General features: G+C 51.2%; 1 protein-coding gene across 8 annotated transcripts in view, besides 5 other annotated features; it reads right to left on the bottom strand.

The window, feature by feature from the left end:
* Nucleotides 15,339-15,488: an enhancer, noted in NCBI's record as "active region_19914". NCBI's record gives its function as "activates an Ori minimal core promoter by ATAC-STARR-seq in GM12878 lymphoblastoid cells {active_cell/tissue: GM12878}" and the evidence as "EXISTENCE:reporter gene assay evidence [ECO:0000049][PMID:35858748]".
* Nucleotides 15,339-16,287: a biological region, named in NCBI's record as "H3K4me1 hESC enhancer GRCh37_chr3:50689443-50690376".
* Nucleotides 15,354-16,287: an enhancer, noted in NCBI's record as "H3K4me1 hESC enhancer chr3:50689443-50690376 (GRCh37/hg19 assembly coordinates)". NCBI's record gives its function as "activates a minimal SCP1, AML or CMV promoter by ChIP-STARR-seq in primed H9 embryonic stem cells {active_cell/tissue: H9 hESC(primed)}" and the evidence as "EXISTENCE:reporter gene assay evidence [ECO:0000049][PMID:30033119]".
* Nucleotides 16,288-17,221: an enhancer, noted in NCBI's record as "H3K4me1 hESC enhancer chr3:50688509-50689442 (GRCh37/hg19 assembly coordinates)". NCBI's record gives its function as "activates a minimal SCP1, AML or CMV promoter by ChIP-STARR-seq in primed H9 embryonic stem cells {active_cell/tissue: H9 hESC(primed)}" and the evidence as "EXISTENCE:reporter gene assay evidence [ECO:0000049][PMID:30033119]".
* Nucleotides 18,677-19,230: an enhancer, noted in NCBI's record as "H3K4me1 hESC enhancer chr3:50686500-50687053 (GRCh37/hg19 assembly coordinates)". NCBI's record gives its function as "activates a minimal SCP1, AML or CMV promoter by ChIP-STARR-seq in primed H9 embryonic stem cells {active_cell/tissue: H9 hESC(primed)}" and the evidence as "EXISTENCE:reporter gene assay evidence [ECO:0000049][PMID:30033119]".
* MAPKAPK3 (MAPK activated protein kinase 3) overlaps nt 19,008-20,611 on the bottom strand; it is a 37,772-nt gene continuing 36,168 nt past the window's right edge. For all 8 annotated transcript variants that reach the window (XM_047448883.1, XM_047448887.1, NM_001243926.2 and 5 more), the window contains one exon: nt 19,008-20,405. In XM_047448883.1, the coding sequence (XP_047304839.1) occupies nt 20,253-20,405 (153 nt within the window). In that variant the 3' untranslated portion in view covers nt 19,008-20,252. The remainder of the gene's footprint in view (nt 20,406-20,611) is intronic.

Raw genomic sequence — 20,611 nt, 5'->3', positions numbered from 1 at the left:
GGAAGCACAGCTTACCTCCCTACACAGCCCACTCTCCAGGTTCTGTGACCCACTGCTTTAGCTGTGGTCTCAACACCTTGCTTGTCCCTCACACCCCTGCCCATGCTAAGGGTCCAGGGAAAGAATGTTGCCAGGGGCACCAACAAGCAATTGGCCCTGAATCTGATCAAGGATTACTGCTAATCTCTTCCTTGAGGAACATTTAATACAGGATGCCAAAAAAGAGAAATCTTTAGAGAATTCTCTCACAAGATCACACCTTAGGACTTGTACTCGGAACATGCAGGGCCCTGACCCAGGGAGCAGCAGGAATAGTACTCACTCTGTCACCACTGAAGAAGAGCAACTCTAAGAAATGGGGACTATTCTGTTCTCCAATTAGCATTGAGGGTGATGGATCAGAATTTATAATATGCAGTTATGAGTTATGGAACAATCAGAGAAGTGATCCTGATTCAGAAACCTGCCATTCCAGGAGCCATGGCAATTTTTCATGAGAACTCATCATGGGGTGGCCCCTGCCAAAACCTCACTTGCACCCAGCCTGTCCCAGCCCCAGTCTGTCACTCCAGCCCACTGACAGCCTCAGGCTTTTTCAAGTTTCAGGTGACCTAGCAACAGGGAATAGAACTTGAGAGCTCTGGAGTCAGAGCTGGGTTCACATCCAGCTCCAGATAGATACTTCCTAGCTGGGTGACCCCAGGCAAGTAGCTTAATCCCTCTGAACCGAGTTTCTTCCTGTCAGGTGGGAATCAGAATGGCTTCTACATCAGGGATGCTTCTGAGGATAATGCCTGCAAAGTTCTCAACACAGAGCCCGGCACAAGGTAAATGCTCACTAAACTTTGGAACCTTGCTCCCCTCCTACCAGCTCAAATTGCTTCCCAGAAATGCTGGGTCTCCTTGCATTTGTGGAATCTGCTTCTCCTCCAAGCTAGCCTGCGAGAGCTGGTTTGGTCACCCCTGCGCAGCTGGGCTGGCCTCCTGCGTCTGCCTCTTACCAGCCAGCACTTAACTCAGCATGAGCCTCTTCTCTCTATTTAACACCAAAAGAAATTGATTTCCCTAAGCTATTTCCATGATGCAGCACCCCTGAGAACTACATATTGCATCAGTTCTCCTCCATGACCATCAAACCCCCTGCTCACAGCCACTCTCCCTAGAGCCACAGGGTCCTCAGCTGCCAAGGCATAGATCTGTTTCATTTTGCACTTGCTTAAAGGTCAAACATGAATTTCTCCCCATTATTGTACTGTGTCTTGTCACACAGACTGTCTGTTTCATGGATTAGTCATAGTCTTGCTATCAAATTAGATATTCCTCAGTAGTTATTTTTAGATAAATCTTTTTCTAATTCTACACGGTGCAATGATGTGTGTGCACCCACAGCTCTGGAATCCAGGCATTACCAGGTGGGTTCCAAATTGTATGAGAGTTCACATTCCTCCAGAAAGCAACAGCCAGTGGAGCAGTGGAGTTTGTAACCTAGCTCTGTCCATGGACTCTTCTGTCCAGCCCAAAATAATTAATCCCCATGTCTTGGATAATCCAATCACTTATCATCAGTCCAGTAAAAGCCCAAAGGAGGCTTGTGACACAATTGTGAGTTAAGCAAAACATGTCTATGCCATCCCAACCTCTTGTTTGACTCTCTCCTTGATCTTAGTACAGAGGCACCAAAGGCAATTGTGCCTTCATGCCCTGCACCCCCATGGAAGACTGCCCTCGGGAAAGGCCCTGCCACCCTCCTGACTGAGACCTGAGTGAATATTACTGGTTATATCCCTGCTTGCTCCCATGGTTCTGCCTGCACACTCAGACCAGCGTCCATAGGGAAATGAGGTCCTCAGAACAGAATTTTAGACTTAACTGGGGTGAGTGTGCATGGAGAAGGAAGGGCTTGCTAAGAGGGAGTCCTCTTCACCTACTCCAAGGCACTTTGAAGATAAGAAGCTGCACATACCTTGGGCTTTAAGGACCTCATATAGTTGGTCCAGCATAGTTGAAGCAACAAAACCCATAGTAACTCTATTTTTTTTTTTTTTTTTTTGAGACGGAGTTTAGCTCTGTCACCCAGGCTGGAGCGCAGTGGCACGATCTCAGCTTACTGTAAGTCCCGCCTCCCAGGTTCACACCATTCTCCTGTCTCAGCCTCCCAAGTGGCTGGGACTACAGGCGCCCGCCACCATGCCCAGCTGTTTTTTGTATTTTTTAGTGGAGACGGGGTTTCAGCGTGTTAGCCAGGATGGTCTTGATCTCCTGACCTCATGATCCACCCGCCTCGGCCTCCTAAAGTGCTGGGATTAGAGGCATGAGCCACCGTGCCCGGCCAACCCATAGTAACTCTGTTAATTCAAGACAGTATTTAGCATTTGCTCCTGGGGTATGAACTGTGAGGAGGGGGGCAGATTTCCCATTCCGATGCTTTCTTCTATGTGTCGGTCTCCACTGGCCGGGATGTGTGGGGCCTCACTTACCCAAAACAAGTGAGACTAGGGGAAGGGGGAAAGTCAGCCCAGCACAGACCCATGTGACTTCACACTAAGCCACTTCCTCCTTTAAGCCTTCTTCAATAAAGAAGATAATGCTTTGGCCTCCATCTGAGTTTTTATCTCTCCATTGTTCAGAACTTGGATGAGGGAAAGAGGACTACTTATTGGTGACCCTGTCAGAGAGCCCCTATAGACTATAAATGCTTCAGCTGTTCAGAGGCAGGGGAGGCTGAGTGGATTGGAAAAATCTGGGAAGGCTCGGCTGAGGAGGCAAGGTCTCAGAGGATGAGTTTAAGTGGATATGACTCTCGGGGGTGGTATCATGAACCAAAGCACAGAGGCAGGAAGAGCAAGATGAGTGGGATGCAATGACGAGGCCAGTGTGACCAGAGCCCAAGACTTCCTTGGGGGTGGGGGCAGGGTGGCAGGTGGGTGGAGGCAGACTATGAAGAATTCTGAGTAGTCAGTAGAGACTAAACTAGTCAGTGGGTCAAAGTATATTTTCTGAAGGCTCTTCAGGGTCCAGGGGAAGTGGCTGGGGATAGTCAATGTTGGCTTAGAGGAGTCTGTGGGGCAGGCCAGGAGGCTGCTATGAGGCATTTAGAAGGAAGAGTGCAACCATGAAGACCGGCTGAAGGCGTGGAGACAATGTAGGAGGACACAGAGATTTGACCTTGCATCATTCTAGCTGGTGAGAACAGCCCTAGCAGGGCTGATGAGCCATTCAGAGAGCCCACGGGGAAAGGTACAAATTTGGGTCACCTGATGGAAACTGCTTCCTCCCGTGAGGAGAAATAGAATAGTAAATGAAAAGATAGGAAAATGAACATCTTCTTTAACTACCAAAGAAAGACAAATTGAAGCCACAAGAAGACCCCTTCTCTTTTCTTTTCTTTTCTTTTCTTTTTTTTTAAGATGGAGTCTCGCTCTGTCACCAGGCTGGAGTGTAGTGGCACAATCTCAGCTCATTGCAACCTCTGCCTCCCGGGTTCACGCAATTTTCCTGCCACAGCCTCCCAAGTAGCTGGGATTACAGGGACACACCACCAAACCTGGCTAATTTTTTGTATTTTTAGTAGAGACAGGCCTTCACTATGTTGGCCAGACTGGTCCCAAACCTGACCTCATGATCCACCTGCCTCTGCCTCCCAAAGTGCTGGGATTACAGGCTTGAGCCACCACGCCAGGCCAAGAAGACCCCTTCTTTGGCCTATCATATAAAAAATTTTTCTTTTTTTTTTTTTTAGACAGAGTCTCACTCTGTCACCCTGTCACCCAGGCTGGAGTGCAGTGGCGCAATCTCAGCTCACTGCAAGCTCCGCCTCCTGGGTTCATGCCATTCTCCTGCCTCAGCCTCCCAAGAAGCTGGGACTACAGGCGCCTGCCACCATGCCCGGCTAATTTTTTGTATTTTTTTTTAGTAGAGATAGAGTTTCACCGTGTTGGTGCTCACTGCAAGCTCCGCCTCCTGGGTTCATGCCATTCTCCTGCCTCAGCCTCCCAAGTAGCTCTACAGGCGCCTGCCACCACACCCGGCTAATTTTTTGTATTTTTTTTTTTTTAGTAGAGACGAAGTTTCATCATGTTAGCCAGGTTGGTCTCGATCTCCTGAACTCGTGATCCACCTGCCTCTGCCTCCCAAAGTGCTAGGATTACAGGCGTGAGCCACCACACCTGGCCTTTTTTTTTTTTTTTTTTTTTTTGAGATGGAGTCTCACTCTGTCGCCCAGGATGGATGCAGTGGTGCGATGTCAGCTCACTGCAGTGTCTGCCTCCCAGGTTCAGGCAATTCTCTGCCTCAGCCTCCTGAGCACCTGGGATTACAGGCACGTGCCACCACACCTGGCTAATTTTTCTATTTACTTAGTAGAGACAGGGCTTCACCATGTTGGCCAGGCTGGTCTCGAACTCCTCACCTCAAGTGATTCACCCGCCTCGGCCTCCCAAAGTGCTGGGATTATAGGCGTGAGCCACCGTGCCTGGCCCAAATAAAAAAATTTTAATGGGCCGGGCACGATGGCTCAAGCCCGTAATCACAGCACTTTGGGAGACCAAGGTGGGCAGATCACGAGGTCAGGAGATCAAGACCATCCTTGCTAACACGGTGAAACCCAGTCTCTACTAAAAATACAAAAAGTTAGTCGGGCGTGGTGGCGGGCGCCTGTAGTCCCAGCTACTCAGAAGGCTGAAGCAGGAGAATGGCATGAATCCAGGAGGCGGAGCTTGCAGTGAGCCAAGATTGCGCCACTGCATTCCAGCCTGGGCGACAGAGCGAGACTCTATCTCAAAAAAAAAAAAAAAAATTAATGACTGTGTGCAAGCAGTTAGTGTAATAGTAGGCTACTTATTTGAAGTAGGGTGGGTCCAGGTGACCCTCCCACCAGCACTGTGGCAAGTGGGTATCAAGAACTTCCCCCAAAAAATGTTAGTTCTGTGAAAATGGATTGAGATAAGTTTCATTTCTATAGATATCCAATGTAACATTGTCTATAAATATTGGAAATAATCCAAATGACTACCAGTAGGGGATGAAGTTATTGAACATGGGACATTACCCCATGCAATTGTATGCAACCAATAACAACCATGAAATCAATCTATCAACAAAAAGAATGTCTAGTGTGTCACATTCAGCAAAAAACAATCAGGCCCAAAACTCTGTTCACAGTGTGGTTATAATTATGCAAGAACAATCACGTGCAGATACAAACCAGAGTAAAATATACCAAGAAGAGACCCTTTCCTCCTTTCTGCAATTTCCCAATGATTATGTGTTGCTTCTCTGACACATTTACCTGTGTACAGCCGTATCACTTTCTCAGAGAATAATACACAGAGACGGGACATGGAGCTGGGCAGCACTGGCAACCCTGTACTCTGGAGCCCACCCTCTTTGGAGCTCATCCTTCCTGCTAATGAGCAGGGAGTAGTTTTCAAAGCTAGGCTCTTGTGATAGAGAGCTGTGACAGGACTGAACATGGATTCTTGTACCTGATTCATCCTTCCTAGCCTAGCTCATCTACTCATCCACTCTGGCCAACCCAGGCCCTGACTTCCAGAACATAGGACCCATTTTTATCTTTCTCTATGGCCCCTGAGGGCTCTGGTCAGCCAGAGGAGAAGCCCAGAGCTCAAGGCTCCTCGTGGGGTGCCTGGAAAAAGGCTGCCACTCCCCTTCACTGCACTCACTGTCTCTACCTCCATATCTACAGCTCCCATTTCTCCCCATTTGGGCTTCCAGCCCTGTTGTTCCACTGAAACGTCCATGCCAAGGCCACCAAGGATGTCTGTGGTGGCAAATCTGATTATTGCTTCTCTGTCTTCATCCTACTTTTCCTGTGCAACAGCATTCAACACAGTGACCATCCCTTTTTTTTTTTTCTGAGACAGAGTCTCACTCTGTCTCCCAGGCTGGAGTGCAGTGGCACGATCTCAGCTCACTGCAACCTCTGCCTCCCGGGTTCAAGCGATTCTCCTGCCTCGGGACTCCTGATTAGCTGGGACTACAGGCATGTGCCACCACACCTGGCTAATTTTTTGTATTTTTCGTAGAGACGGGGTTTCACCGTGTTAGCCAGGACGGTCTCAATCTCCTGACCTCGTGATCCGCCCACCTCAGCCTCCCAAAGTGCTGGGATTACAGGCCTGAGCCACCCGCCCAGCCGTGACCATCCCTTTCTTATGATACTTGCTTTTAGAAGCTTCCAATAAACTATACCTCTTGTTTTTTCTCTTAGCCGGCTGCTCCCTCTCAGTCTACTTTTCTGGATCCTTCATGTCTCCCCAACCTCTGCCACAGGATTGAGTCCCCTTTTCATCTCTCTGCACATTCTCTCCTCTTGTCTGATCTTGTGGCTTTGGACCCCATATAAATCATGATGTCTCCCAAAGCTGTGCCACAAGATTCATCATTTCAACTGCCTTCGTGACACCTTGAATGTCTAATAGTATCTTGAAATGAGAGTGGCCAATGCTGCAAACCATCCCCTCCACATACAGTCTCCTCATCTTAAGAGACAGCACCTCCATCTCTCTAGCAGCCCAAGGCAACACTCTAGCAGTCACCTTGGTGCCTCTCTCCCTCTTACATGTCCATCTATGACTGAATGGTTTTGACATTTGTCCCTGCCAAATCTCATGTTGAAATGTAATCCCCAACGTTGGAAGTAGGGCCTGGTGGGAGGTGTTTGGATCACGGGGGGCCGATCCCTCATGAATGGCTTAGTGCCATCCCCTTGGTGATAAGTGAGTTTACCTGAGATCTGGTTATTTAAAAGTGTATGAAGGCCAGGCACAGTGGTTCACGCCTGTGATCCCAGCACCTTAGGAGGCCGAGGCAGGCGGATCACTTGAGGTCAGGGGTTCTGGACCAACCTGGCCAACATGGTGAAACCCTGTCTCTACTAAAAATATAAAAATTAGCCAGGTGAGGTGGTGCATGCCTGTAATCCCAGCTACTTTGAGGCTGAGACATGAGAATAGCTTGAACCTGGGAGGCTTGAACCTGGGAGGTTGCAGTGAGTCGAGATGGTGCCATTGCACTACAGCCTAGGCAACAGAGTGAGACTCTATCTCAAAAAACAAACAAACAAACAAACAAACAAAACGGTGTATGACACCTCCCCCTTCTCTGTCTTGTTTCCACTCTTGCCAAGTGACATGCTGGCTCCTTTTGGAAGCTACTTGTTTGAGCATGACAAACCTATGGCACTGTTCTTTTTTTTTTTTTTTTTTTTTTTTTTTTGAGATGGAGTCTCACTCTGTCACCTAGGCTGGAGTGCAGTGTTGCAATCTTGGCTCACTGCAACCTCCGCCTCCTGGGTTCAAGCGATTCTCCTGCCTCAGCCTCCTGAGTAGCTGGGATTACGGGCGCACACCACCACACCCAACTAATTTTTCTATTTTTAGTAGAGACGGGGTTTCACCATTTTGGTCAGGCTGGTCTTGAACTCCTGACCTTGTGATCCTGACCTTGTGATCCACCCACCTCGGCATCCCAAAGTGCTGTGATTACAGGTGTGAGCCACCGCGCCTGGCCCTGGCGCTGTTCTTAGAGTCCATCACAGACCTGAACTGCTGAATGCTATTCCTCATGGAAACTGAGGCATGGACATTTCGGCAGCTCCCCCTTGGATGTGGCCTGGAGGAGTTGGAGAAATCAGGCCTGGGAGCATACAGCATGTATTTGATCTGATTCATTCATCAGGTTCAAGTTAGGCCTTGACTTCTGGGCTTACAAAACTGGCCCTGGGGAGCATGAGGCGTGCGGATATGTGCTCAGTAAGATGGACCAGGACTGCCAGGGTACGAGGCTGGAACAGGGGGCTAAAAACACGCCTTCCTTGGGCCTGGAACCAGGTAGTGCCCTCAGAGTTTATCTTTTGCTTAGGAAACGTTCTCGTTCCTGTTGGGCTGTCCCCCAGCACCCAAGGCCTGAGGCATAACCCAAGTTCGTGAGCATAGGTGTGGCCTTTGGAAAAGAGCACTATGTCTCCAGCTCTCTCCACCTACTCTCTTCTTCCTCCAGGCTGGCCACTGGCCTCCCAATACTGGCTCCCTGGACCCCAGGCTTTTGACTATTGTCTATATAAACTCTTCTAGGTAAACAGCAGACTACCCTTAATGTCTGCAGGGCAGGAATAGTACAGCAGAGACCTCCGCATGGCATAGGAGCCCCTGGATGAATATAATTGCTCTGGCCCTCTCTGTCAGATCAGATGCTACCCGCCCTCCAGCCCCTTTCATCTCTCCATTCTGTAGAGCTGGTCCAGGGCCCCCCAACTCCCTCTAACCTGAAGTAATTCTACTCTTGGAGCACCAGACTCTGTAATTATGGTATTTTCTCATGTATTCTCACGTCAAATCCTCCCAATAATCCTGTGAGCATAATTTTGGCCATTTTACAGTCAAGGGAACTGAGATTGCAAAGAACAGAAGAGACTTGTCCAAGATCAGCCGTAGCAGCCAGCCCCAGAGTTCCGAGGACTTCCTGACACCAAAACCCCTTCTCTATATCCAGGGAAAGCAGCAACCACAATCTTTTTTTTTTTTTTTTTTTTTTTTTGAGATGGAGTCTCACTCTGTCGCCCAGGCTGGAGTGCAGTAGCGCGATCTTGGCTCCCTGTAACCTCTACCTCCCAAGTTCACACCATTCTCCTGCCTCAGCCTCCTGAGTAGCTGGGACTACAGGCACCCGCCACCATGCCTGGCTAATTTTTTTGTATTTTTAATAGAGACAGGGTTTCACCATGTTAGCCAGGATGGTCTCAATCTCCTGACCTCGTGATCCGCCTGCCTTGGCCTCCCAAAGTGCTGGGATTACAGGCGTGAGCTACCGCGCCTGGCCAGCGACCACAATCTTTAAGAGGCTGACCTTCAAACTTTTGCAGAACCTGGAGTGAGCATTACCAAACCTAAGACTGTGACACTCCATAGTGACAAGTCTGGAAGCTGTGGAAGATACTTTGGGGAAGAGGAAAGTGGGAGAGGCTTTCCCCTATCCCCTGCCCACTTCCAGGATATAGCCTATGTTTTTGTGCTCTTTTCTAAATGCAGAGAAAACCCTGAGGGCTTCTTGAATGGTGTGAGAAGTGATGGTGGTTCTTGATGCTGGCAACCACCAGCCAGAAAGAGACCACTAGAGGTGGCCACCTGGGGCCAACCTCCCCAGACCCAGTTGTGGAGCAGTATCACTCAAGGAGCCTGCAGTAAATGCATGCACCATCCACGCTCAGGCAGGTTTTCAAGGTGGAGGCCCCAGGGAGGTTCTGATGGGGCCCAGAGCCGGGGTAACCCCAGAGTCCAGGGACCAGCAGGGACTGTGGAGTCTGAGAAGACTTGGCTCATCAGGAGGTGTTAGGTATAAAATGGGTGCGAATGGCACCTGCCTGTGACTGCTGCAAGGGTTACATGAGCTGAGGGGTTCAGGATCCATCTGTCAATAATGCAAGTTTTCCTTTTTCCTTCCATTGGACAGGAGGTCCCAGGCAGTGAGGAACCTCAGGTCTGGCAACATGAGAACTGCTCGGCTCACCTGGAAAACACAACTGGTGCTGGCTTAAGAATGCCCCAGGGAGAGCTTGTCAAGGAAGACTCTAACCAAGGGTGGGCATGAGCCAGGGGTTGATGGTGATTCGCATGGGAATCATCCTGGGCTGTCTCTGAGCATCCAGCCACAGTCCCAGTCACCCTTGGAGAGGAACGTCTGCCCTGAGGCCGTGCTACTTGAATCTGGGAGAAATTGTGAGGAGAGTTCCTCCACTCTGGCTTCATCATTGCCAATTCCCAGGCGAAGCTGCCCCAAACCACTCGCTTGTCACTTCTCTTCAGTCCAAGGGTCCCTAATGGCTCCCTGTTGCCTCCAGAGTGGTGTCCATACTCAGCCTGGCATTTCTTTTTCCACCCCAGGCTGGGCACTTAAAGCTTAAGAGAGGCCCGCCCTTTCCTATCCACACTCCCCACACCCAAATCAGCAAGACCATTCCCAGAGCCATGCTGTGCCCTCTCTGCTTTGACCTTCCATCTTCCTTCCAAACCCACCTCAAGTTCCAAAGCCAAGCAAAACTACTACTCTCCTCTCGTGATCTCCATAGCCCTGATTCTCTGAAAGACATCGTTATGCTGAAGAGCCTATAGGCAGTGGCTATATTTCCAGCTGGAGAGTAGGGACTTCAACTCAGCCAGGCTATGGCTTCCAACATCTCCTCAGCCCCACTCCATTCACAGGATGCAGCCAGGAAATCCCTGTGTGTGTCCAGCCTTTGGGCAGTTGTCCTGAGAGTGGTAGGGAGGGGGACGTCAGCAGCCAGCCCAGAAGCCAGGGCTCTCAGGCTTGAAGGGCCTCTGGCTTCCAGCAGAACATGCATGGGATGGGGTCTGAAAAACCCTCTTCAGGCCTCCAGGCTCTCTAGGCCCCAGTAATTCAGCACCAGTCTCCCTGCACATCTGCCCTTCTCTCCGTGCTATGGGCAGAGCCCTTTACACTGATGCCAGTGCCAAATACTGATGGTCTTTTCACTCAAAGCCTTCTGAAAGGAGGCCTAAGGAAGCCTAATTAAGAGCCATGGATGCCACAAAACCGGTCATCGATAAAGTCCCCTTCAGGAATAAGCAAAAATGGAAAACAGCTCTGCAGGAAAAGGTGAGAGCCAGAAAGACCTGAGAGGGAACTCTAAGGCCAGGGAAGGCAAGGTGGCCCAGCCAGGGGACAGGGGGTGCACATGTTGGGCGAGACAGTCGAAGCTGGGTAGCTGGCTTCTGAGCCTCAGTTTTCTCATTTATAAAATGAGAATCAAATGGTACTTTCCAGCTCTGACCGTCTTAGAGTCTATTTAGAACTGCCTGTCCATTCCAGCTCTCAAGCTGTTTCTGAACCATGCCTGTGTCAACTTTCATTTTTCCTGGATCCACTTCCATCCTTGGAAGACTGGGTTTGGCCAGTCCAAGAGGACAAACATGGAGGCAAGAAAGTGCAGAGGCCCAAGAGGTACCATCTTTTTCTAAGGGTGATCATACTCTAAGGAGGAATCATCGGAAGTCCTGAAGCTAGAGCCACAAGCTCTTCTAAGTCCCTCCAGTCCTGATGCCATCTTCCTCTGCCCCTACATTTCAGACCATCTCCAGGGAGCCTTCTTTTGTTCATAGGTCCAGCTACTAACCTTCTGGGCAACCTTGGACAATTCAGCTGACCTCTGACTATCTTCCCTCCAGAGCGTGGAAACTGGCCGCCTGCTCCTTCCCTAAACCCCCTTTCACACATGCACGGCATCCTAACCTCCTCCAGGCAGCCCTCCCAGCTTCAGGTGGGAAGTATTTATTCCATGGAACTAACTCTCTCAGGAAACCCACCTGACTTCCAGAGCAACAGAAGGAAGAAAACCTTCTCAGGGCAGGCTGGGAAAGGTGGCCATAGGAGGAGGATGGCTGTCCCAGGAAGAACACCTTGGGATCCCCTCATCCCTTGGCAGTGCTCCTAGCCAGGCCCCTAGCCTGCACTCACTCACGGGCTAGAGGGAGGAGGGGCTTGTCTCTTGCTGGCTGAGATTAGAGTATATGACTATTGCTGAAAATCTCTGCTCACCCCTACTCCAGGATCTCCCTCCCAAGCATTCATATAACTGTGATAAGATCAAGCCTAGTTACAGGAGCTCAGTAACAGGAATCGACCCTCTCGCTTCCAGGCCCAAAGGGCAGAGCCCTATCTCCATGTAATCTATCTCCAGAGGTGAGTTGTATCTTACGGCATCTTGGTGTGAAAACAGGCACAGCCACTGGCTTTGCTGATGTTAACAGCCCCAATGAGCTTTGCATCCACCGTTTTGTGGGTTTAATTTATTGCCAGCAATTAGATATCAAAGCCATCTTAGGAGCTGGTGTTCCATCTGTAAAGTAAAGGGCCAGGTGGGGGCTGATTCACATCTGGCCAACCCATCCTGAGCCCTGGACTCATTCTGTCCTGGGTGGTCAGTGGCAGAACCTAGAGAAAGGTGTCTTCAAAAATCTTGACTTCCTTGGGTCACATAAGTGTGCCCATATGCTCACTTCTGTCCTGGGGAGGCTGAACAAGACCAGCACTCTCTATATTGTGTTCTTTTCTGCTCCTCAGATTCTCAAAGGCTGTTTCCACTATAAGGCCTTTGCGTTTGCTATTCTCTTTCCTGGGATGCCCTTCTTCTCTTTTCTTTTTTTTTTTTCCTTTTTTTCTTTTCTTTTTTTGAGACAGAGTCTCGCTGTTTCATCCAGGCTGGAGTGCAGTGGTGTGATCTCGGCTCACTGCAACCTCGCCTCCCAGGTTCAAGCAATTCTCCTGCCTCAGCTTCCCAAGTAGCTGGGATTACAGGCGCATGCCACCACACCCGGCTAATTTTTGTATTTTTAGTAGAGACAGGGTTTCACCATGTTGGCCAGGCTGGTCTTGAACTCCTGACCTCAGGTAATCCGCCCACCTCGGCCTCCCAAAGTGCTGGGATTACAGGCAAGAGACACCATGCCCAGCCTCTCTTTTCTTATAATCAACTTCTTGTCATTCATCCTTGGCTGAGTGTCCCCTTCTCAGAGATACTCCCCACCCCCCAACCCTTCTGTCCCTGTCTGTCACTCCACTGTTTGGCTGTAGGTTCCATCATTGTAGAAGGAGTCCTGTCTGCTTAACTTGGCTCAGCCAACAGCACAGAGACACCTGCCCACAGGAGGCACACTGGGCCAGTCCATCCCCTCACCAGCTGGTACAAAGGGAGCCACAGTCTCTGGCTCCCTTCCTGATCCTGTAAGGAGGGGTTCTCTGGACCTGCCTAATGGCACTGGGCAGAGCCTCCCCTGCTTCACCTGTCTTTCATAGCAGCCCTGGCGAGTCCCACTGCACAGCCTACTAGGGCCTGGCCTGGCAGGAACCTTCAGAGAGAGAGAGAGAGGCCTCAAGGGCAGGTGGGTGGCTCAGTTAGACAGGAGCTCTGACTGCAGCTTCTCCCAGGAAGTCAGCCTCCTTTCTAAAGGCTTTAACCTGTGACTCAATACTTCCTTAAACACCATCATGCCCCACACGGTCTCATATGTGACGTGAATTTTTTCAGGACCTATGACATGCTGGGAGCTCAGCAAACTGTCATGCCTTACCTCTCCCAGTCTCACAGTCTGGGGGGCAGGCATTGCTATCCATATGTTCTAATGAGGAAATGGGCTCAGAGAGATTAAGAGAGTTGTCCAAGGTCACAGAGTGGAGTCAGAAGGGGATCCCAAGCTGTGTGACTCAGACCCAACATCTGTCTCCTCTGCAGGGAAGCACTCTGACTTTAAAGCATCCTGAGAGGTGCCAGGCACTCCTTGCCCAAGTTCAGGGACCAGAGGCCATAGAAGGTCACACCCAAGAATCCTTCCTCTGGCATCCAGGGGCATAGAAGATCAGGGCAGAGGAGGAATGGGTTTATGACATCTCCTCCAGCTAGACCAGATCAGGGAAGGGGTCAGATGACACTGGAACTCTTTGGGCAGGGATAGCCTTCCCATTAGGAAGGGGATTGTGAGGCTCCATGCCCCTAGCTTCAGACCCTGGTCCTGCCACACACCACTCATAGGAACCTGGGAAGTTTCTTCTGCTACTATTCAAGTTTCAGTGACTTCATCTGCAAAGTGGGCATAATCTCTGCCTGGGAGGGCTACTGGAAGAACAGAAAAGTAAACAAAGTCAAGTACGAGATATGTCTGGCACACGCTAGGTGCTAAAACATGAGCTCCAAGGCATGGCTCAAACAGGCCAGGCCCACAGCTAAGAGCCCAGCCCCTCAGCCCCTGGGCCTTTTCAGTGGGCCCTGAGACCCTCCATCCAGCCCTAGTAGCTCATGTGGGGGAAACATGACCCATGAGTCAAGGTCCCATCACCTGGAAGGGAGACTGGTTGGGGGAGAGTCCCTGCACTAGGGGTGCTGCTTCAAGAGGTGGCTGAGGGGCCTGCCTCATTCCCACACAGAGCATCTCTGCCAGGTCTGAGGGTTGATTACTCCGTGGCTTGCTGTGAACACAGATCAAGATCAGGAATGGGAATGGGGGTGTCATCTGCTTTATCTACACAGCCTCTACACTGGGGCAGGGTTTATAGGCTAAGGCAGGCTTCCCAGTGCCTCCCCTGCTGCCACCACCCACTCTTTGCCCCAACTGTCTCTGTCCAGAGTGAACTCTCCAGAAAGGGGAAAGCAAGCCTGCCTAAGACACCCACGACCACCCAGTCATCTCTGCTCCCTTTGTCAGCACCAGTGACGCCCCACCAGACAATGCCAGCAGGTGCCTGTGCCCATGAAGTATGGACTCTCTGAGGGCAGGAACCATAGGAGAAAGGACAATCTTGTAGCCATTTTGCCATGTCAGAGCCCTGCCTCCTGTCCTCACCAGCCATGAACCTTGGGAAGCCACTTAGTTACTCCGAGTCTTGGTTTCCCATCTGTAAAATGGAGATCTTAATGCCTGCCTTGCAAAATTTGAGATCAGTTTTGTTAATGTCTAGCTCAGTGCTCCATAAACTTTTTTAATGCATGTAAACTTGTTCAAATTAAATCTCAGCACACCAATCTATAAAATAGCTGTGTTGGAAGCAAAAGTGGAGGGTCCTAGGACTCCTTCACCAAATCCTGGGGGGTTCAGGGAGTCCAATGTGAAAAGATCTGGCCCCAACTCTAACAGCCAACTCTGAAATCAACCAGAAATGCTGGAGCAGTAAGAGGGGATGGATAGATTGTCTGACACATTGGTTGAGTGTATCTCCAGAGGAGCCAGAGGTGCACATGTGGAGGGGGAATGCACTACCCATGGGAGAACCCTGGGGGCTCTAAGAGAGAGGAGCTATTACCAGGGGCCCATTGTCTCATCCCTGAGCACCCCATTCTGACTTCCTACAGGAGATGGGACAAGGAAATGAGAGACCCCTGTGCCATGGCTGCCTCTCACCCAGTAAATAGACTTGTTTTCCATTCTTCACACAAAATGCCTTGCCTCCCCGTGTACCTGCCAGCTAAGTCCCTAAATGTTTGTCTATCCAAATCTGGCTTTCCCTTTGAGTTCATATTGTCACCACCTTTTGGAAGTCTTCTGTGATTGCCCCTAGCCAAAAACAGCATTTCCTTCCTTTGACCTCCTCTAGCACAGAGAGCAGCGGCTAAGAGCTTGGGACTCAGTTTCTCTACCTGTAAGATGAGAAAGTGAGGACTAAGTGAGATGATCCATGTAAAGCTTTAGCACAGTCCTGGCACACAGTAGGCACTCAATAAGTGTCAGCTATTCATTATGGTGCTGTGGTCTCTCCCCTGCCCCACAGCTCCTTCAGGCTATGGCACACAGTAGGTGCCCACTGAATACTCACCCAGGTGACCAGCAGGTGGCCCCACACCCCAATTAACCTCTCTGCCAGCTCCTCTGAGCCCCAGGGAACTTGTTCCCTTGAGTCAACAGCTGCCTTCTCCTGGTCAGGGGACACAGAGAGGGTAGAACTGGCAGAGTGCTGGGCAGCTTAGTGCATCACCTAGCAGACGCTTGGGCTATGCTGGTGACCAAGGCCTTTGGGCTCGGCCATCCCTGTCCCTGTCTTCATTGCAGCCCTGCCCCATCCTTGTGAGGATCATGCTAACAGATAAGAAAACTGAGGCTTGGAAAAATGCATGATCTGCCTGAACATAGAGCATTCCTCACAATCCATCAACTGGTGGTGATGTGTCTGTCAAGGGTGCTGGAATAGTCTGGTCCTGTTAATTCAGCCTCTCATTTTACTGATGGGCAACCTCAAAAATAAGAACTGCTTTGCTCAAGGCCTCATGTAAACCAAAGCTCAGGTCTCCTGGCTCTAGACAACCCCACTCCATCCCACACACAGCAGGGGAGGTGGGCTTGCCAGACCCTTCCCTGCCTGCTGGTTAAGCATGCTGGCTGCTCAGTATGACAAAACGAAGAATTTTACCCTGCTGGGTTTATGGGCAGCCGTGAGGACCCACTAGGGATGCAAAGGCTCGGCCCAAAGCAGCCAGGCCCAAGGCAGCCAGGTCTGGTGACAGCCACACACGGCCTGCCCTCCCCCCTCCCCATGCCTGCCATAAAGAAAGTTTCAAGCAGGCTTGGAAGCATGGAGACCCCTGCAGAGGCTGTAGCAGGCTGCATTTTGAGGCTCAATTCTGACACTGCAGTGGAGGGGCTGAATTGAGGGCAGAGAGGGGCTGGTGTAGAATAGCAATGAGCCAGGCTATTGGAAGCCAGCCAGCATCAGGTTTGGAGGACAGAATCAGGGCTGTTGGCCAGGTCAGGGGGAACATCACTAGGAAGAGATGTCACACACACACACGCATGTGCACACGTGTGTATATAACTTTTATGGAATTTTTTTTTTTAAGAGACAGAGTCTCGCTCTGTTGCCCAGGCTGGAATGCAGTGGCACAATCATGGCTCACTGTAACTTCAAGCTCCTGGGCTCAACCTGCCTCAGCCTCCCAAGTAGCTTCTTACGGAATTCCTTACCAAAAGCTGCCAGGGAAGTTATCATAGAGCTCATGCAAATGCCTGTGCGTCTGGACTCGCTGATGAGAACAAGTGGCCACTTGGCTTCTTAGCTCACCTAATACTAGCTGATTGTCAGAGATTTGCTCCCATTTCACGGACAGCCACACTGAGGCCCAAAAAGGAATGTGACTTGGCCAGGCATCCAGCCTCCCAGTCCTGGCTTGTAAGAGCGACACCCGATGCTGGAGATCACGGAGCCAGGCCCTGGGCTGGGCTAGCGGCTGGCCCAGACTCCTCATGGGCTCTTGGAAGTAGCCAGATGTGGGAGATAATGGGGCAATCTTTCCATCTGCTCTTCTGCTAACTGCTTCTAGGGCACCCCTCCCCACCTAGTTACAGGAGGGGCCCTACCCTCTCCCCAACAACAGCAAGGGGCCAAATGTGACCAACAAGAACCCTCCCCTGAAACTGACATGTGGACACCTGAGCAGATGACCTCCCCAGCTAGAACTTCTGCAGCTCTAGTTTTGCCAGAGCTATGGAGAAGGCAAAAAAAAAAACCCAGTGCAGGCAAAGGATCAAGGACAGCCCCAGGAAGAAGCACAGACTGGCAGAGCAGAGTGGCAGACGGGAGTCCTAGAGCAGGGAGACCCTCTGTCCCTGAGGCCCTGGTCCCTGCACTTCTGCCTGCAACCCTGTATCCTATCAGGCACCTTTCCCAGCACTGGGATGCATATATTCTCTCTTTGGCTCAAACTGTCCCATGACACCTCCTTCTCCTGGAACCATGTTCTTCCATCACAGATCATATCAAGACCTTGATTAAACTTTTTTTTTTTTTTTGAGATGGACTTTTGCTCTGTCGCCAGGCTGGAGTGCAGTGGCGTAATCTCGGCTCACTGCAACCTCCGCCTCCCAGGTTCAAGTGATTCTCATGCCTCAGCCTCGCGAGTAGCTGGGATTACAGGCACCTGCCACAACGCCCAGCTAACTTTTTATATTTTAGTGGAGATGGGGTTTCACCATGTTGGCCAGGATGGTCTTGATCTCCTGACTCTGTGATCTGCCCGCCTCGGCCTCCCAAAGTGCTGGGATTACAGGCGTGAGTCACCACGCCCGGCCAATTTAACATTTTTCAACATGTGATGTTTTCACCTTCTCCCGCATGAATGTAAACACCTTGAGGTGAACTCCCTGTCTGAAGTTCTCACTGCAGCCTTCCTTGCACCCAGCACAGCATCTCAGGTACACTGGATGCTTGGCAGCCAAGCAAGGAAGGCCATCTGTGCCTCCACAGCTTTGAGACTAGATGGACTACATCTACCTTTGCATCTGGCCAGCATTCCTCCAAATGTAGGGTATACTAGGAAGGCTGGGCTGAACCACAGGCTCCATGGAGTCTCTTGAATTTATCTGGCTACCCTCCTGGAAGCCCAGTACTGGAAACAAAGCCCAGGAGGCCCACATGATGCTGCTCTGGGGAGCAGGCCCTTGGAAATGAAACCCCATGGGTGAGGAAGCCCTGATTGTCTGGATAGAAAGTTCCTGAGGTAGATTTGGGGTTGCTTTTTCTTCTAGAGACTTCTAGATACTCTAGATATTCTCTCCTTCCTGAGGCAGACTTGGGGCTGCTTTTTCTTCTAGAGACTTCTAGATACTCTAGATATAACTCTAGATACTTCTCTCCTTCCTGATGACTAAGGATGTTAGAGTAGCTAATGAGTGTGGGGCATGAGCCACGCACCTGGCACCTCACTAAGTACTTCACACACATCATCTGCTCAAATCCCCCACATGACTCCATGAGATGGGCATTATCATCGCCAGGACACAGCTGAGGAAACTGAGGCCAAGAAAGCTCCCAAGGTCACCAGGCTGGGAAGCAGCAGAACATCTCAGGCGTGTTTGCCTGTCCCCTGCCTTCCAGCATCTCTGCACCCTCCCCCACGCCCTGAAGGAAGTGGGGGTGGAGGAGAGAGCGCTGCAGGCAGCAGATGAGCTCTTGGAAAACTGGGAGGTTTCTCAAGATAGGAGCTGGGAGAGAAATGCCACAGTTAGGGCCCTCCTTGAAGCTACCCACAAGGGCTCCGGAGGGGTGAGAGTGCTCTCTTACTGGAGTAGTCAAAAGACAGTCTTGCAGCATGCCGCCCCCTCCCCTCCTCGATATTCTCACTGCCAAATGAAATCTGGCAGTTTCTGAAAATAGCTCAGCGCTGCAGCAGGCACTCTGCCCGCCCTTCAGCAGGCTGGCACACAGCTGGGGGTGGCCACTCTGGGCAGATGCTGGCACACACAGGACCGGGGGTAGGTGTCACACACACTGCACAGGGGCAGCACAGAGCTGGGGGCATGTGGCAGCTGCCATCCCTCAGCTCTTCTGACCTTTCTAGGCCTGGCGAGGACTCTGGCCTTGGAGTTAGCATGGCATGCTTATCAGGCCTGAGGCACCCCCTCCAGCTGGGGTGAAATCACTAGTGGGTCTGAGAAGCTGCCCTTGGGCCACCTTTGTCCACCCCTGTAGACAAAGAGTAAACCCAGGAGCCAAGAGAAAATGATGAAATGGTGTTTATTACTATCTGGATGTAAAACCCAGCAGTGTTGTCCTATCTGACATGGTCTAGGGTTTCCCAGCCAGTGAGAGAGGGGCCAGGAAGGAACTAGGCTGCGTGTCAGGCACTTGTCAGGCAGTATCAGGCACTCAGCACCCTAAGGCTACCATGGTGGGGTGGGGCTGGTAAGCTCTGATCAGCCAGGAAAGGCCCTCTCTGCCCTACTCAGGCCCAAGCCAGGACCAGACATTCTGAGCATGGCTCAGTCGCCTTCCCCAACCTCAGGTCTGACCCAGAGTAAAGAAAGAGACCTCAGGTTAATGGGAAGCCACTTAGCTCTGCTCCCAACCAGCCACTTTCACACAAGTATACCAAAAGATAGCCCCTGACTTCAACAGAGAGGGGCTTTCCTGCCTGAGATCTGGTGAGCAGATGGGTGCAGGGAAAGTATGCTGGCTTTTGTCACAGTGACATTTTCCAAAGTGGAAAAAAGTTAAAAATATCTCCCACCTTAAGTTCAGATGAAAAGTCACCCTTTGGGTCGGGAATAGTGAGGGGATGGCTAGGCCCAGGGACTCCCTCAGGGGAGAGCGCTGAGTGCCATCTGGGCTGGGGCTGCAGCAAGGCAGGGCTGGACTGCACAGGGAGGCAGGCAGACCGGATCCAGCAGCCTCAGGGCCCAAGGAGGAGTGAGAATGAGAGGGCCAGCCAGTGTGTGAGAAATCAGCCTCCCCAAGGCAGAGGTGAACCCTCAATCGCCCCTCCTCCCTTACTCGCTCACTCAGCATTCACAGGCAGCAACGTGGTCCCTGGTCACCATGGCAACCAATGGCCAATGCCTTTCTCAAGGCCAGGCCCATCTGCCCATCCCACAGGGAGATGTCTCTGTGGAAGATGGGAAGCCCAGCCACAACTCCCAGTGGCCTAGAAAGCTAAGGCCATGCACCAGGGCAGGACAGCACAGAGGCCTCACTCGGGCCAACCTAGCTAAAGGTGCTGCTATGGCAGCAGGCAGCTCCCAGCCCCTAGGCCCTGCCCATCTCTAGGGCTTGAGCCTGGGCCAGAGATCTGAAGGAGGTTTAGGGTCAGGGTCCTCCATCCTGAAGTTCCGAGTGACAAATTAAAACACAACAAAATAATCCTTTTGTTAAAAGAATGACCCTGGGCCCTCCTGGCCAGGGCCTGAGCACATTTCAGTCTGTTATGCAGGCTGAGAGGCCAGGCTCCTCCAAGGCCCCATGAGCTACTGGTTGTTGCAGCCCTGTGAGGCAGAGGAGCTGCCTGCCTGCTTTTTTCTCCTCTTGTTGAGGAGCCGGTTGTTAGAGGTCTTCAGGTCCTTGATCTTCACCTGGTCGTAGTCTACCCGCATAGTGGCCAAGGCACTGGTCATCTCCTCCTGGGGACAGACAGGATGGTGGGCACTAAGAGGTCAGGATGTACTGACCTTAGGAACCATCACCCCCCTGCCTGGGCAGCCCCTTAATGTCAGTGACAGCCTGTGCTGCCTCTGTGCCCACTGTGTGCCCAGCACTGGGCCAAGCCCTTTGCATCACATGATCCTCACTACCGTCCTCTGTGGTAGACACTGAGCTTATTCACTAA

This window comes from Homo sapiens, chromosome 3 (genome assembly GCF_000001405.40).
Source record: "Homo sapiens chromosome 3, GRCh38.p14 Primary Assembly".
NCBI lineage: Eukaryota > Metazoa > Chordata > Mammalia > Primates > Hominidae > Homo > Homo sapiens.
The sequence above is the reverse complement of the archived record's forward strand: the minus strand, read 5'-3'. Positions and strand labels throughout refer to the sequence as shown.